General features: G+C 39.6%; 1 pseudogene across 2 annotated transcripts in view; it reads left to right on the top strand.

The window, feature by feature from the left end:
• ZNF807P (zinc finger protein 807, pseudogene) overlaps window positions 1-13,234 on the top strand; it is a 135,468-nt pseudogene extending 122,234 nt beyond the window's left edge. The window contains exons 2-4 of one of the 2 annotated variants that reach the window (NR_146880.2): window positions 9,540-9,660; window positions 9,917-10,012; window positions 10,987-13,234. The product of NR_146880.2 is annotated as a zinc finger protein 807, pseudogene, transcript variant 1 (transcript). The remainder of the gene's footprint in view (window positions 1-9,539; window positions 9,661-9,916; window positions 10,013-10,986) is intronic. The other variant, NR_170975.1, reaches the window with a different exon arrangement.
• The last annotated feature ends 236 nt before the right edge of the window (window positions 13,235-13,470 follow it).

Raw genomic sequence — 13,470 nt, 5'->3', positions numbered from 1 at the left:
TTCCCAGAGCCTGCCCATACCCATGAAGAACAATGCAATCTGCCAGTCATAGGAGCAGGTATCGTCGACTTTGCTGTGGAATTTGGACACTCCAGAAGCCAGACTGGATGTGGAAACTCCAAAGGTGCAGAAAAAGGACTTCAGAATGTTGACTTTTACCTCTGTCCTGGAAATCACCCTAACTCTAGTTGTCAAGATTCTTACCAGTTTTTCTGCCCTGACTGGACATGTGTAACTTTGGCCACCTACTCTGGGGCATCAACTCGATCTTCAACCCTTTCCATAGCTCGTGCTTCCCGTCCTAAGCTGTGTACTAGGAGAAATTGCAATCCTCTCACTATAAACATCCATAATCCTAATTTAGCTCAATGGTATTATGTCATGTCATAGGGATTAAGGCTTTATATCCCGGGATTTGATGTTGGAACTATGTTCACCATCCAAAAAAAATCCTCGTCTCATGGAGCCCTCCTAAGCCAATCAGGCCTTTAACTGATTTAGATGACCTTATGTTCCCAAAACATCCAGACAAGGTTGATTTAACTGTCCCACTGCCATTCCTGGTCCCCAAACCTCACCTGCAATGACAGCACCTCCAACCCAGCCTGATGTCCATTCTAGGTGGGGTACATCACCTCCTCAATCTCACCCAGCCTAAACTAGCCCAAGATTGTTGGTTGTGCCTAAAGGACAAACCCCCATATTATATTGGATTAGGAGTAGAAGCCGCACTTAAAATTGGCTCTCTTTCTTGTTGTACATGCCCCCATGCCCTCCCATTAGGAGATACGTCTGGAAACACTTCTTGTCTAATTAGCACCGGATATAACTTATCTGCTTCTCCCTTTCAGGCTACCTGTAATCAGTCTATGCTTACCTCCTTAAGCACCTCAGTCTCCTACCAGGCACCTAACAATACCTGGTTAGCCTGCACTTCAGGTCTCACTTGCCACATCAATGGAACTAAACCAGGACCTCTCCTGTGTGTGTTGGTTCATGTACTCCCCCAGGTCTACGTGTATAGTGGGCCAGAAGGATAACTTCTTATTGCTCCCCCTGAATTACATCCCAGGTTTTGCCGAGCCACCCCACTCCTTGTACCCCTCCTGGCTGGCCTTAGCATAGCTGGATCAGCAGCCATCAGCATGGCTGCCCTGGTTCAGGGAGAAACTGGACTAATGTCCCTGTCTCAACAAGTAGATGCTGATTTAAGCAATCTCCAATCAGCCATAAATATACTACATACCCAAGTAAAATCTCTAGCTGAAGTAGTTCTTCAAAACCGCCGAGGCTTAGATCTGCTATTTCTCTCCCAAGGAGGGTTATGTGCCACTCTAGGAGAGAGTTGTTGCTTCTGTGCCAATCAGTCTGGAGTCATAAAAGATACTCTCCAAAAAGTTTGAGAAAACCTAGACAGGCACCAGCAAGAACGAGAAAATAACACCCCCTGGTACCAAAGCATGTTTAACTGGAATCCATTGCTAACTACTCTAATCACTGGGTTAGCTGGACCCTTTCTCCCCTATTGTTAGGCTTAGTCTTTGAGCCTTGTATGTTAAATTGGTTTCTTAATTTTGTAAAACAACATATAGCTTCTGTCAAGCTTATGTACCTTAAAACCCAATATAACCCCCTGGTTATAACCGAGGAATCAATGGTTTGATTCCCCAAAAACACAAGTGGGGAATGTGATACCCAACCTTGTTTTAACCTGAATTGACTCTCCCTTAGCTGAGAGAGCCAGACAGACTCCATCTTGGCTCCTTCACTTACAGCCCCTTACCCACTCCCTTCCTCAAGGACTTGACTTGACTTGTGCAAGCAGATTCCCAACACATCCAAGGATGCAATTAACTGATAAGATACTGTGGAAAGCTATATCCGCAGTTCCTAGGAATTCATCTGGTTGATAACACCCAAAGCCCCGCATCTGTCACCCTGTGATAGATTTAAAGCCCCTGCACCTGGAACTGTTTGCTTTCCTGTAACCATTTATCCTTATAACTTTTTGCCTGCTTTACTTCTGTAAGATTGTTTTAACTAGACTCCCCCCCTCTCCTTTCTAAACCAAAGTAAAAAAGAAAATCTAGCCCCTTCTTTGGGGCCTAGAGAATTTTGAGCACTAGCCATCTCTCAGTCGCTGGCTAATAAAGGACACCTGAATTCGTCTCAGAGTGTGGTGTTTCTCTGTAACTCACTAGGTTACAACACGTGAGCCCTACAATTATTCCTGCTTACAGTGTAGAAGAAAAATAAGTATATATGGTGACCACCATGGGTATAATTTAGGTGGGATAATAGGAGAGAGGAGAGAGGCAAAGATTTGCAGAAGTATCCATGTAAATCTTTGGCTAAGTCCCGATCTGCACAAGCATGACCAGACACTACCTGAGGTTTAGAAAGGAACCCCTACAAAGCAATATCCCAAACAATTATTTGAGCTCATCCAGGGCTGGGAATTGTATGTTCACCTGCCAGTGTGGAACACCTATTAGTACAGAAAACACCAGATAGAAAGGTATCACCTAAAGAACGGGGCTGACAGACTCAAGGCTGCTCTGGTCTTATACTAAAAAAGTTTAAAACAGAAAGACCTAGTGCCAAGCAGGCAAGAGGAAATCATGCTGCTAAGTAATTTTATTGAATGGCATACCAAGGTCCAACATTGTTTAAAGCAATACAAACAAATACAACATTCAATAATGTAAAATTCAGTATCTGGCATCCAATAAAGAATAACCATGCACACAAAGAAGTAGTGACATAAAAATCATTAACCAGAAGAGTGAATTGAGAAGCACAAAAATGATGAAAATGATGAAATTAGTGGACAAATATGCTGTAAAGCTTTTATAACTATCCAACATTTGTTTTGACAAAAGAATGGGGGAAATAAAACTTGATAATGAGAAATAGTACATATATATATATTTGTGGTTTCCACTCCAACATCTAAAGAGCTTGTTACTCCCGTCCTCAAAACAACAAAAAGTTGAACAAACTGAAAATCAGTAACTCTTCTTAGATCCATCAGAGTATCGAGGCCATAGGGCAAAGCAATGCCCCCCCAAACTGGAGACACAGCAAATATAGGGGATCAGATTTTGAGGACAGAAGCCTCTGGAGCCAGCAACTGACAGGTGAACAGTGATTAACAAATTGCTGGAGGCTAATGGTGGACAAGCCTTAGTCTTAAAAAATCCTGGGAGCCCAGTCTTATCATGGGAGCAGCACCTGTATTTTCATGAGATTTGCCTCCAGGAGACCCACCAGATTCTCCTGATGAAGACTGGAGAACAATTATCTCATGCTTCAAGCAGGAGGAAGGGGAAATAATCATTCTAAGACACACCCAAGGAAACATAAGCATTTTGAAATAAGCCCAGAGTATTCTGTGCTACATAACAAAAGCCTGCCCCCAGGAAACTACTTTACCAAATCGTGTGTGACCTGTGAGAAGAACTAGTCAGTCTGTTCCATCTAGTCTTCCTATCTCAAATAAAGGAAGAAAAGAAAGCTAAGAAATTTTTCTGAAGGTCAGCCCAGGGACTCAGTCTCACTAATAAAACTGAGATGTAATCATGAGATGTAATCATGAGATTCAAAAATGCTGCCTCTCCACAATACCTTATCACCACATCAACAGGTCTGCGGTATAATAACAGCAGATGGGCCAGGTGCAATGGCCCATACCTGTAATCCCAGCACTTTGGGAGGCTGAGGTGGGTGGATCACTTGAGGTCAGGAGTTCGAGACCAGCCTGGCCAACATGCCGAAACCAGGTCTCTACTAAAAATACAAAAATTAGCTGGGCGTGGTGGCATGCATCTGTAATTCCAGCTACTTGGAAAACTGAGGCAAAAGAATCACTTGATCCTGGGAGGCAGAGGTTGCAATGAGCCGAGATTGCACCACTGTACTCCAGCCTGGGTGACGGAGGGATACTTTGTTTCAAAAAATAATAAAATAAATAAAAATCATAATAAACAAAAAACAGTAGATGGTAACTGATAGAGCTGCAAGAGACAGACAGGAATTTCTAGGGAAACCCACAGACAACAGCAGAGACACCAACAAGGATATTAGAGGAAATTTAATCCCCTGAAATCTACTGCTACAGCAAATAATAAACAGCCAAAATTCTAGCCAGATAAACATAAAACCTCGCAGTAAAGTCCTATTAACCTTAGTTCATCTTACCCGATACATCATGTCTGGCTATCAACAAAAATAGCACAACATGATAAAAGGTAAATGCTCTAGACTGAGTTGTGCCCATCCCTCCCCAGCAAATTCATGTTAAAGCCCTAACCCCCAGTGTGATTGTATTGGAGACAGAGACCTTAAAGAGGTCATTAAGGTTAAATGAGGTGTAAGGATGGATCCCTAAACAAATAAGACTACAGTCCTTATAGGAAAAGGAAGAGACACCCAGGGTGTGTGCTCACAGACTGAAGACCATGTCAGGACACAGCAAGAAGGCAGCTGTCTGCACGCCTGCAAGAGAGTCCTCACCAAAACCCAACTCTGCTGACACCTTGATCTAGGCATTCCATCCTCCAGGATTGTGAGCGAATAAATGTCTCTTGTTTATGTCATTCAGTCTGTGGCATTCTGTTAAGAAGAATAACCCAAGAAGACTAATGCAGCAGGAAGAAACACATTATGAAGAGACAAAGCAGCTATCACAACTAGACACTGGGGCAGAGAGGTTGGAATTATCACACCAGGATTTTAAACTATGATTAATATGCTAAGGATTCTAATGGAGAAAGTGGCCAACATGGACGAACACATGTGTAATATAAGCAGAGAGAGGCAAACACAAAAAAAAAAATTAAAAGGAAATGCTAGAAATAAAAAACACTGTAACAGAAATGAAGAATGTCTTCGATGGGCTTATCAACAGAATACAGAAGATCAAGGAAAGAATCTGTGAGTGTGAAACATGTTGATGGAAACTTCTCAAACTGGAAAGCAAAAAGAGAGAGAAGGAGAGAGAGAGGGAGGGAACTGAAACAGAATATCCAAGAACTATGGACAGTTATAAAAGATGTAACATGGGCATAATGAGAATGAATCCTAGAGGAGGAGAGAAAGGAGCAGAAAACCGATTTGAAGTGATAATGACTGAAAGTTTTCCAAACTTACTGACAGACATCAAAAAGCACAGATCAAGGAAGTTGAGAGAAGATCAAGCAAGATTCTGGTAGGACATATATTTGGTCTTTGTCATCAGTTCCTCTCAGAGTGCTGAAACCCCTGGAATGTCCTGAGTGATAGGAGTGTCTTTTGTTATTAATAGTGAGCCCCACTGATGACCCCTGAGTTTATGCTAATGAGGTCCTTAAGGTAGAGCATCTCGATAGCCTCAGGATGGGCTATAAGATATTGATGCTTCATGTAGTTGAATTTCTATTTATAATGGTCAATTGCATTATTCATCACACAATTTAACAATAAAAGTACATGTTCACTTTTCCTTGTTCATGGTCTCTGCATTAATTCAACTCTCCCTCTTCCAACACTCAAACTTTGGGCATTAATTAATATAATACATTTTGCCCAGCTATATATTTTAGTTTATTTTTTCATTTAGTTTATTTCCTATCTTTTAAGTTTTTATTCTTCTCTAAACAGCATAAAATTCCTGATGGATTACTACACCTTAATGCTGTGGTCCCATCCATTGAGGCCTCCATAGCCAATATCCAATATTATTAACATTGCTGATTCTATTCAGTCAAAAACTGGTATATATTTTGCTCTTGTAGATTTGGCTAACATGATCTGTTTGGTGCCAATTTCAACAGCCTCTCTACTGCAATTTATCTCCACCTCTGAAGGCATGCAACATACCTTTCCCAGGCCACCCAGAGGGTACCTTGTTAGCTTTGGCATCATGTACAATATCTGCAGACAAAATCTGAACTGCATCCATCTTTCTTTCTCTAAGAGCACAGGTATGACATGATATTAATAACATGCTCCTTCCAGGAGACTCATTTGACACATTCATTAAGGACACATAAGTCCAATCTTTTAGTACATTTTGGGTTCTGGTGGTTACTTTCTCAGAAAAGCTTCCCTGAACACCTAGCACTTCCACTCCTCCGTCACTGCTTTCTTGTTTTCCACGGCGTGTGTCACTCACTAGCTGATGTACTGTATGTTCACTATATGCACGTGCTCATTGTCTTTTCCTGGTGGGAGGAATCTTTTTTCTTCTTTGTTGTCTATTATAGCTTCAGTACCCAGAGTGGTACCTGGCACCAAATAGATGCTTAGTAAGTAACTGTGGAGTGAATAAGATGAGTAATGAAGAACTGGTGGGGCAGAATCATGGCATGGAAGGTGAAGCTTGCATAGGAGGGGATATGAGTAGCAGATGTACATGTTGGGTGAAGTCTGTTTTCTTGGAAAAAATAGATAATTAGAATTGAAAAACTGGCATGGTGGTACATGTCTGTTGTCCCAGCTACTCGGGAGGCTGATGAGGTGGGAAGATTGCTTGAGCCCAGGGGTGTGAGGCTGCAGTGGGCTATGATTATGTCACTGCACTCCAGCTTAGCAACAGAGCAAGATACTATCTCTTAAAAAAAAAAAACAAAGTAAAGGCTAAAGTGAACTAATGCCAAAAACATTCATTGGTTCATCTTCTAAACACTTATGAAGTACCTGGTAGGAAAAGTTGTACATGGATTGTGGTGTACACTGACACACAGGACTTCATGATCTAGTGCAGTATTGTCTAAGAGAACTTTCTGCAGTGGTGGAAGTGCTGTGCATGTGTACTGGTCAGTACGGTAGCCACCAGCCCCATATGACTATTGAGTACTTGAACTGTGGCTTAAGCAACTGAGGAACTGAATTTTAAATTTTATTTTATTTTTACATTTTAATTAATTTAAATGTAGGTAGCCAAATTGGCTAGTGGCTACTGTATTGAGGACTGCAGCACTGTAGAAAAGTAAGAAAGCATGGGAAATTTAAATAAGTGCTAGGACAAATATCCTATGTTCTTTTGGGGACAGAGATGAGTGAACATTTCAAGCTGCCCGGGCAACTGCAGGGGAAGAAAGAAGCATTCCTGGCTCTAAGTTGTAATGACTTGTCTGTCATAAAGATATGAGAAACGTTATTTTTATTTAGGATAAAGGCAATTAACTAACAGTGTCAACTCCAATTAATGGGTGAATTTAGGACAAATTATGCGTAGCAAATTGAACTGTCAGGTCTTACTTGGATAAGTTATTGTTTATTTGGAAAATGTATGTATTGGATTGTATCTGCTTGGTGATATAAAAGGATGAGTGAGATTTCTTCCTGTCCTTTTAATCTCATTAGTGGATTGCCTGTGACATGCATCAAGGTCTTATTTAATGCTTATTCAGTAATAAAACTCTTTTCTTTCTTTTCTACATCTGTGGAAAGGATTTTCTACCATTGGCAGGAGATTTGAATTTTAATTATTTTCCCAACACCTGACAAAAGTAAATTCTGCCTTTAAAACCAGAGACCAGTGTCACTGGTGAACATGCACGCAAAATATCCAAATAATGTAATACAGTGCTGAATTAACTCTCAGAGCTAAAAAATTACCACAGTAGAGCAGTCTTTCACAAATCAAAGACAGTAATAATGCTATATTAAATGGATGTATTTTTGCACATATAATTTGACTAGTCAATAAGCTATTATTGAATATTTAAGCTTCTAAAGTTTTACTATCTTAAATAATACTTTGAAATGAGTACTATTGAGAGGAATTTCCAAGCACATCTGTGAGCATTTCCTTAGAATATTTTCTTTGAAATGTACCCTTTTGTTCCCCGCTTAGTTTCAGGTCCTAGTTAAGGACTGTCTGTGGCAGGGGTGCCCAACATTTTTGGCACCAGGGATCAGTTTCATGGAAGACAATTTTTCCCCAGAAGTGGGAGGTGTTTGTTTGGGGATGAAACTGTTCCACCTCAGATCATCAGACATTAGTTAGATTCTCATAAGGGGTGTGCAGCCTCGATCCCTTGCATGCACAGTTCACAGTAGGGATTGCGCTCCTATGAGAATGCAGTGCCACGGCTGATCTGACAGGAGGTGGAGCTCAGGTGGTAATGCTCACTTGCCGACTACACACCTCCTGCTGTGTGGCCCAGTTCCTAACAGGCCACAGACCAGTACCAGTCCATGGTCTGGGGGTTAGGGACCCCTGATCTATGACATGAAACCAGCCTTCAGTCTTTTCGCCCAGGGGTCTCATATTTTAGTTATTAAATGTCTATCAGTACAAAGTTTAAGTATATGCCATAAATATATTTTTCTTTTTTATGAATCAGTTATGTGTATGTTTTAGTCCATTTGTGCTGCTGTAACAGAATACCACAGACTGAGTAATTTACAAACAATAGAAATCGACTTCTTGGCCAGGCACGGTGGCTCACACCTGTAATCCCAGCACTTTGGGAGGCTGAGGTGGGTGGATCACTTGAGATCAGGAGATCAAGACCAGCATGGCCAACATGGTGAAACCCCGTCTCTACTAAAAATACAAAAATTAGCCAGGCATGGTGGCGGGCACCTGTAATCCCAGCTGCTTGGGAGGCTGAGACAGGAGAATCACTTGAACCCAGGAGACAGAGGTTGCAGTGAGCCGAGATCGTGCCATTGCACTCTAGCCTGGGCAACAGAGTGAGACTCCATCTCAAAAAAAAAAAGAAAAAAGAAAGAAAAAAAAGAAATTGACTTCTCATGGTTTTGGAGCCTGAGAAGTCCAAGATCAAGGGGGAGGGGTCTGACAAGGGCCGTGTTGCTGTGTGCTTTTATGGTGGATGGGTGGATGGGCAAAAAGAGGAGAGAGGAAAAAGGGGCCTCAGACTCATTTTTTAAATAAGGAACACACTCCCACGATGATGACATTAATCCATTCATGACGGCAGAGCCCTCAAGGCCTAATCGTCTCCTAAAGATCTCACCTCTCAATACTGTTAGAACGGTTATTAAGTTCAATACATGCTTTATGGGAGACACAATCAAACCATAACAGTGTATGTCTATCAGTCTTTAATATAAAGATGTCTTTTTTCCAAACCCATTTTTTATGAGGGTTAGTGGATCATCCTGGTATCCCATTCAAGAGAGAATCGCTTTAGCCTCATTTTTTAATTACTTACCTAGTACTTAAGGTATAAAATATATAACCAAATACTTGACTCTGTGCTGTCAAATGTTAAATGCTGATTTTTAAAAATTCATACAATTCTATAACTTTTAACAAAAAGTTAACTCTACTGAAGCAAAGCTCTCATATTTGTCTCTCATCCTTATTGTATAATAATTCTAAACACATAACTCTCCCCTTTATTATGTAATAATTCCATCTACGTAACTGTCCTATTATTACTTAACTGAGATCACATTCCCAATCTTTGTCACGACTCCTGAATCTTGTTCCATTTCTTCCACAACCAGGCTAATTTTACCTCTTCTTCAGTGACAGAAGAGGCCTGGGCTATGGCTGAGCCTAAATATATTTGCTATTTCAGGTGACATTTAGTGATGTGGCTATAGACTTCTCTCATGAAGAGTGGGCATGCCTAGATTCTGCTCAGAGGGACTTATACAAGGATGTGATGGTCCAGAATTATGAGAACCTTGTCTCTGTAGGTAAGGATATCACCCCTTCCACTCCAACAGGGGACACCTTTCTTTTGCCACCCTGAATTGCTGGAGATTCTCCTAAGTAAACGGCTGAATTCTGTACCATGCTCCCGAGGAAATGTGCAGCTCTGTTGTGCCCTGCCTAAAGCTTATCTTTCCATTTCAATGAACACCCTTCATCCATTCCTGTGGTCCCTCTTTTGATGGCCTCTCATAATAGAAGACCACAGCTTAAACAATTCTATATTCTTCCTGTAAGCAGGTCTTTCCATAACTAAGCCATATGTGATCACATTGTTGGAGCATGGGAAAGAGCCCTGGATGGTGGAGAAAAAACTGTCAAAAGGTATGATTCCAGGTGAGTCATGGTGAATGAGACAAAGGAAGATTTGGTTAAAGATGTTTATAGTGAGTGTGGAGGCATTTTAGGAACACTATCTTCAAATATCTCAAATATTAATGAAAAATTGAGGGATATTTAGCTTAGATTTTCAAAATAATTGTTCCTCTATCCCACATTATTATCTGTATCACTCATGTCATCTAATCAAGGTTAGAGGTTTTTGTCATTATAATAATTCAAATTGTTACTCTATTCATGACAAAGTAAGGCAAATTATTCTTTCTTAAATCTACATAAGAAAAAACAAACTGATACTTTTAGGCTAAGAAAAGCTGACAATTAGATGGAAAATCACTTTTCTAAAGCTGAGCTTTGTAGATGAAATATGAACATATTAGAGGAAGTAAGGAACATATAAAATATGTTCCTAGGAATAATATTTTCTAATGTCCAATAACTGATATGATTCACAGTTTCTTCATAACCTCAGAAGGCCTAAATCTTTGTCAGCTCTAAACAGCACTTAGATTATTTTGTTTTTCCTGCAACTGTTTAATGCAGTAGTATCAATTCTGTATTTTAAGCATGTTAATCTGGCAGCAAATTGAGATTAATGGAAGGTTGGAGAAAAAGGCTATGAGACAAAATGCAATCTTTCATACATGAATATAGGCACAAAGAGATGGCTTGGAATCCAGAATGCCTTCCACATTTTATTTCTGATAGTTTCCTTTTATTCATATACTGTTTTATCTATTATGTATATTTTACCCATTTCTGTTATCACTCCTGCTTCTTCTGTGAACTCTGTATTCTCTGCTCCATTTGAGCATTGTTCAGAAATCACTGAAATATTTGAATTGTCAGAACTCTGTGTTTTCTGGGGGCTTCAATTCTTATCCATTTCTCCTAATTCCACCATAGAAGTTTCTTTTCAAGGAGTAAAAAAAAAGAAAAAAACAGTACTTTGCTTTCTTTATATATTTCAGGTTGGGAATCAAGATGGGAAAACAAGGAATTATCAACAAAGAAGGATATTTATAAGGAAGATTCACTCCAAACAGTAACAATAGAAAAAGTTTTAAAACAAAGTTATGAATTTTCAAATTCTACCAAGAATTTGGAACACATAGAAAAGTTGGAAGGGAAGCCTGGAATTCATGTAGAACATTTCAGACCAGCAACTCTCACCTCTAGAGAAAGCCCCACTGGGGACAGTTACAAATATGACACATTTAGAATCACCTTTCATTCAAAGTCTACTCTTTCTGAACCATAAAAAAATTCTGCTAAAGGGAATTCACACAAATACAATATATTAAAGAAGAATTTACCAAAAAAGTCAGTTGTAAAAAATGAGAGACTCAATGGTGGAAAGAAACTCTTGAATTCTAATAAAAGTGGAGCAGCCGTTAACCAGAGCACCTCTCCTCACCACACTTATAATAGAGAAAGTCTATACATCTAGGGAATGTGGGAAAGCCTTTGGCAAACAGTCAATCCTCAATCGCCACTGGAGAATTCATACAGGAGAGAAGCCCTGTGAATGTCGTGAATGTGGGAAGACTTTTAGCCACGGCTCATCCCTTACACGACATCAGATAAGCCATAGTGGAGAGAAACCTTACAAATGTATTGAATGTGGGAAGGCCTTTAGCCATGGCTCATCACTTACTAACCATCAGAGCACTCACACTGGAGAGAAACCATATGAATGTATGAACTGTGGAAAGTCTTTTAGGCGTGTGTCCCATCTTATTGAACATCTAAGAATTCATACGCAAGAAAAACTCTATGAGTGTCGTATATGTGGAAAGGCCTTCATTCATACGTCGTCTCTCATTCACCATCAGAAAATCCATACTGGAGAGAAGCCTTATGAATGTAGAGAATGTGAGAAAGCTTTCTGCTGTAGCTCACACCTTACTCCACATCAAAGAATTCACACTATGGAGAAACAATATGAATGCAACAAATGTCTGAAAGTCTTTAGTAGCCTCTCATTTCTTGTTCAGCATCAGAGTATTCATACTGAAGAAAAACCCTTTGAATGTCAGAAATGCAGGAAATCCTTCAACCAGCTTGAATCACTGAATATGCATTTGAGAAATCACATTAGATTGAAATGTGATTTCTATCTAATGAATGCCATATATGTGGGAAAGCCTTTAGTCATAGGTCATCCCTGCTTCAACATCACAGAATTCATACTGGAGAGAAACCTTACGAATGTATTAAATGTGGGAAGACCTTCAGCTGTAGTTCAAACCTTACCGTACATCAGAGAATTCATACTGGAGAAAAGCCATATAAATGTAGTGAGTGTGGGAAAGCTTTTAGCAAAGGCTCAAATCTTACTGCCCATCAAAGAGTACATAATGGAGAGAAACCCAATAGTGTGGTAAGTGTGGAAAAGCCTTTAGACTATATGAATCACTATACATGTGAGAAATCTTACAGAAGAGAATGTATATGAAGCAGTGTTTATCATGGTAAAGTTCATTCATAGATCCTCATTTAACATCAGAAAAAATTATACTGGGGAAAAGTTTTATGAATGTAGTGAATATGGGAAGACTTTCAGCAATGATTCAGATGTTTTTATTTTTCAGAGTTTATACTGTAGAGAAATCATATGAAGACCATAAATGTGGGAAAGCCTTTGTCAGTATTAACCCCTTAATTGACATAAGTATACTCACACTAGGATAAAACCCTGTACATATAGCAAATGTGGGAAAGACTATAGACAATAGGAATCTTTTACAAACTCCTACAGGAGAGAAGCTGTATGAATGTAGAAAATTTAGAAATTGAGGGAAGACTTCAGTTCCAAGTGCATCCCTTATTTTACAAAGAACTCAAACTGGAGAGAACTCTCATTTAAGAGATGTAGCCAAGTGTTCACTAAGAGTGTTTATCTTGCTACACATCAGAAGATTAATGGAAGAACAACCTGAAAGTTTTAGGAATTACGTGTAAATCTTTGCAGTGATGCTATTTGTAAACAGGGTTCTACAGGAGAGCAAATAAATGTCATTATGCATTTCTTAGAGCAGTAGCTTGCAGTTTCAGTTGAGTTCTACTTAGAAATTCTTTTTAGCTAGTGGGCATGTGAAGATATTTAGTCACCCAGAGGAGCCAGTAAATGTTATAATGTTAAAAATTAAAGCTGCAAAAGAAATAAAATGGTGTGAATAAAGGTTTTGGTATCTAATAAAATCATTTTGTATCTCACGTACTCTTTCTCTGTGACTATTTCTGGCAAAAAAATTTCACTAAGATTAGCCTCAGTATAGCCTTTAGTGGGAGACAAGCAAACCTAAAGAAAAACACCTGCTCTTTTTACTAAGAATAGCGGTATTTTGGTGAGGATTATTCGGAGTCCATTTCCAGTGGGCTTACTACATTTCAAGAAAATTTACTGAGCATCACTCGTGTGTATTACACAGCAATGGGATACAGGAATCCAG

Source organism: Homo sapiens, chromosome 19 (genome assembly GCF_000001405.40).
Source record: "Homo sapiens chromosome 19, GRCh38.p14 Primary Assembly".
Taxonomy (NCBI): domain Eukaryota; kingdom Metazoa; phylum Chordata; class Mammalia; order Primates; family Hominidae; genus Homo; species Homo sapiens.
The sequence above is the reverse complement of the archived record's forward strand: the minus strand, read 5'-3'. Positions and strand labels throughout refer to the sequence as shown.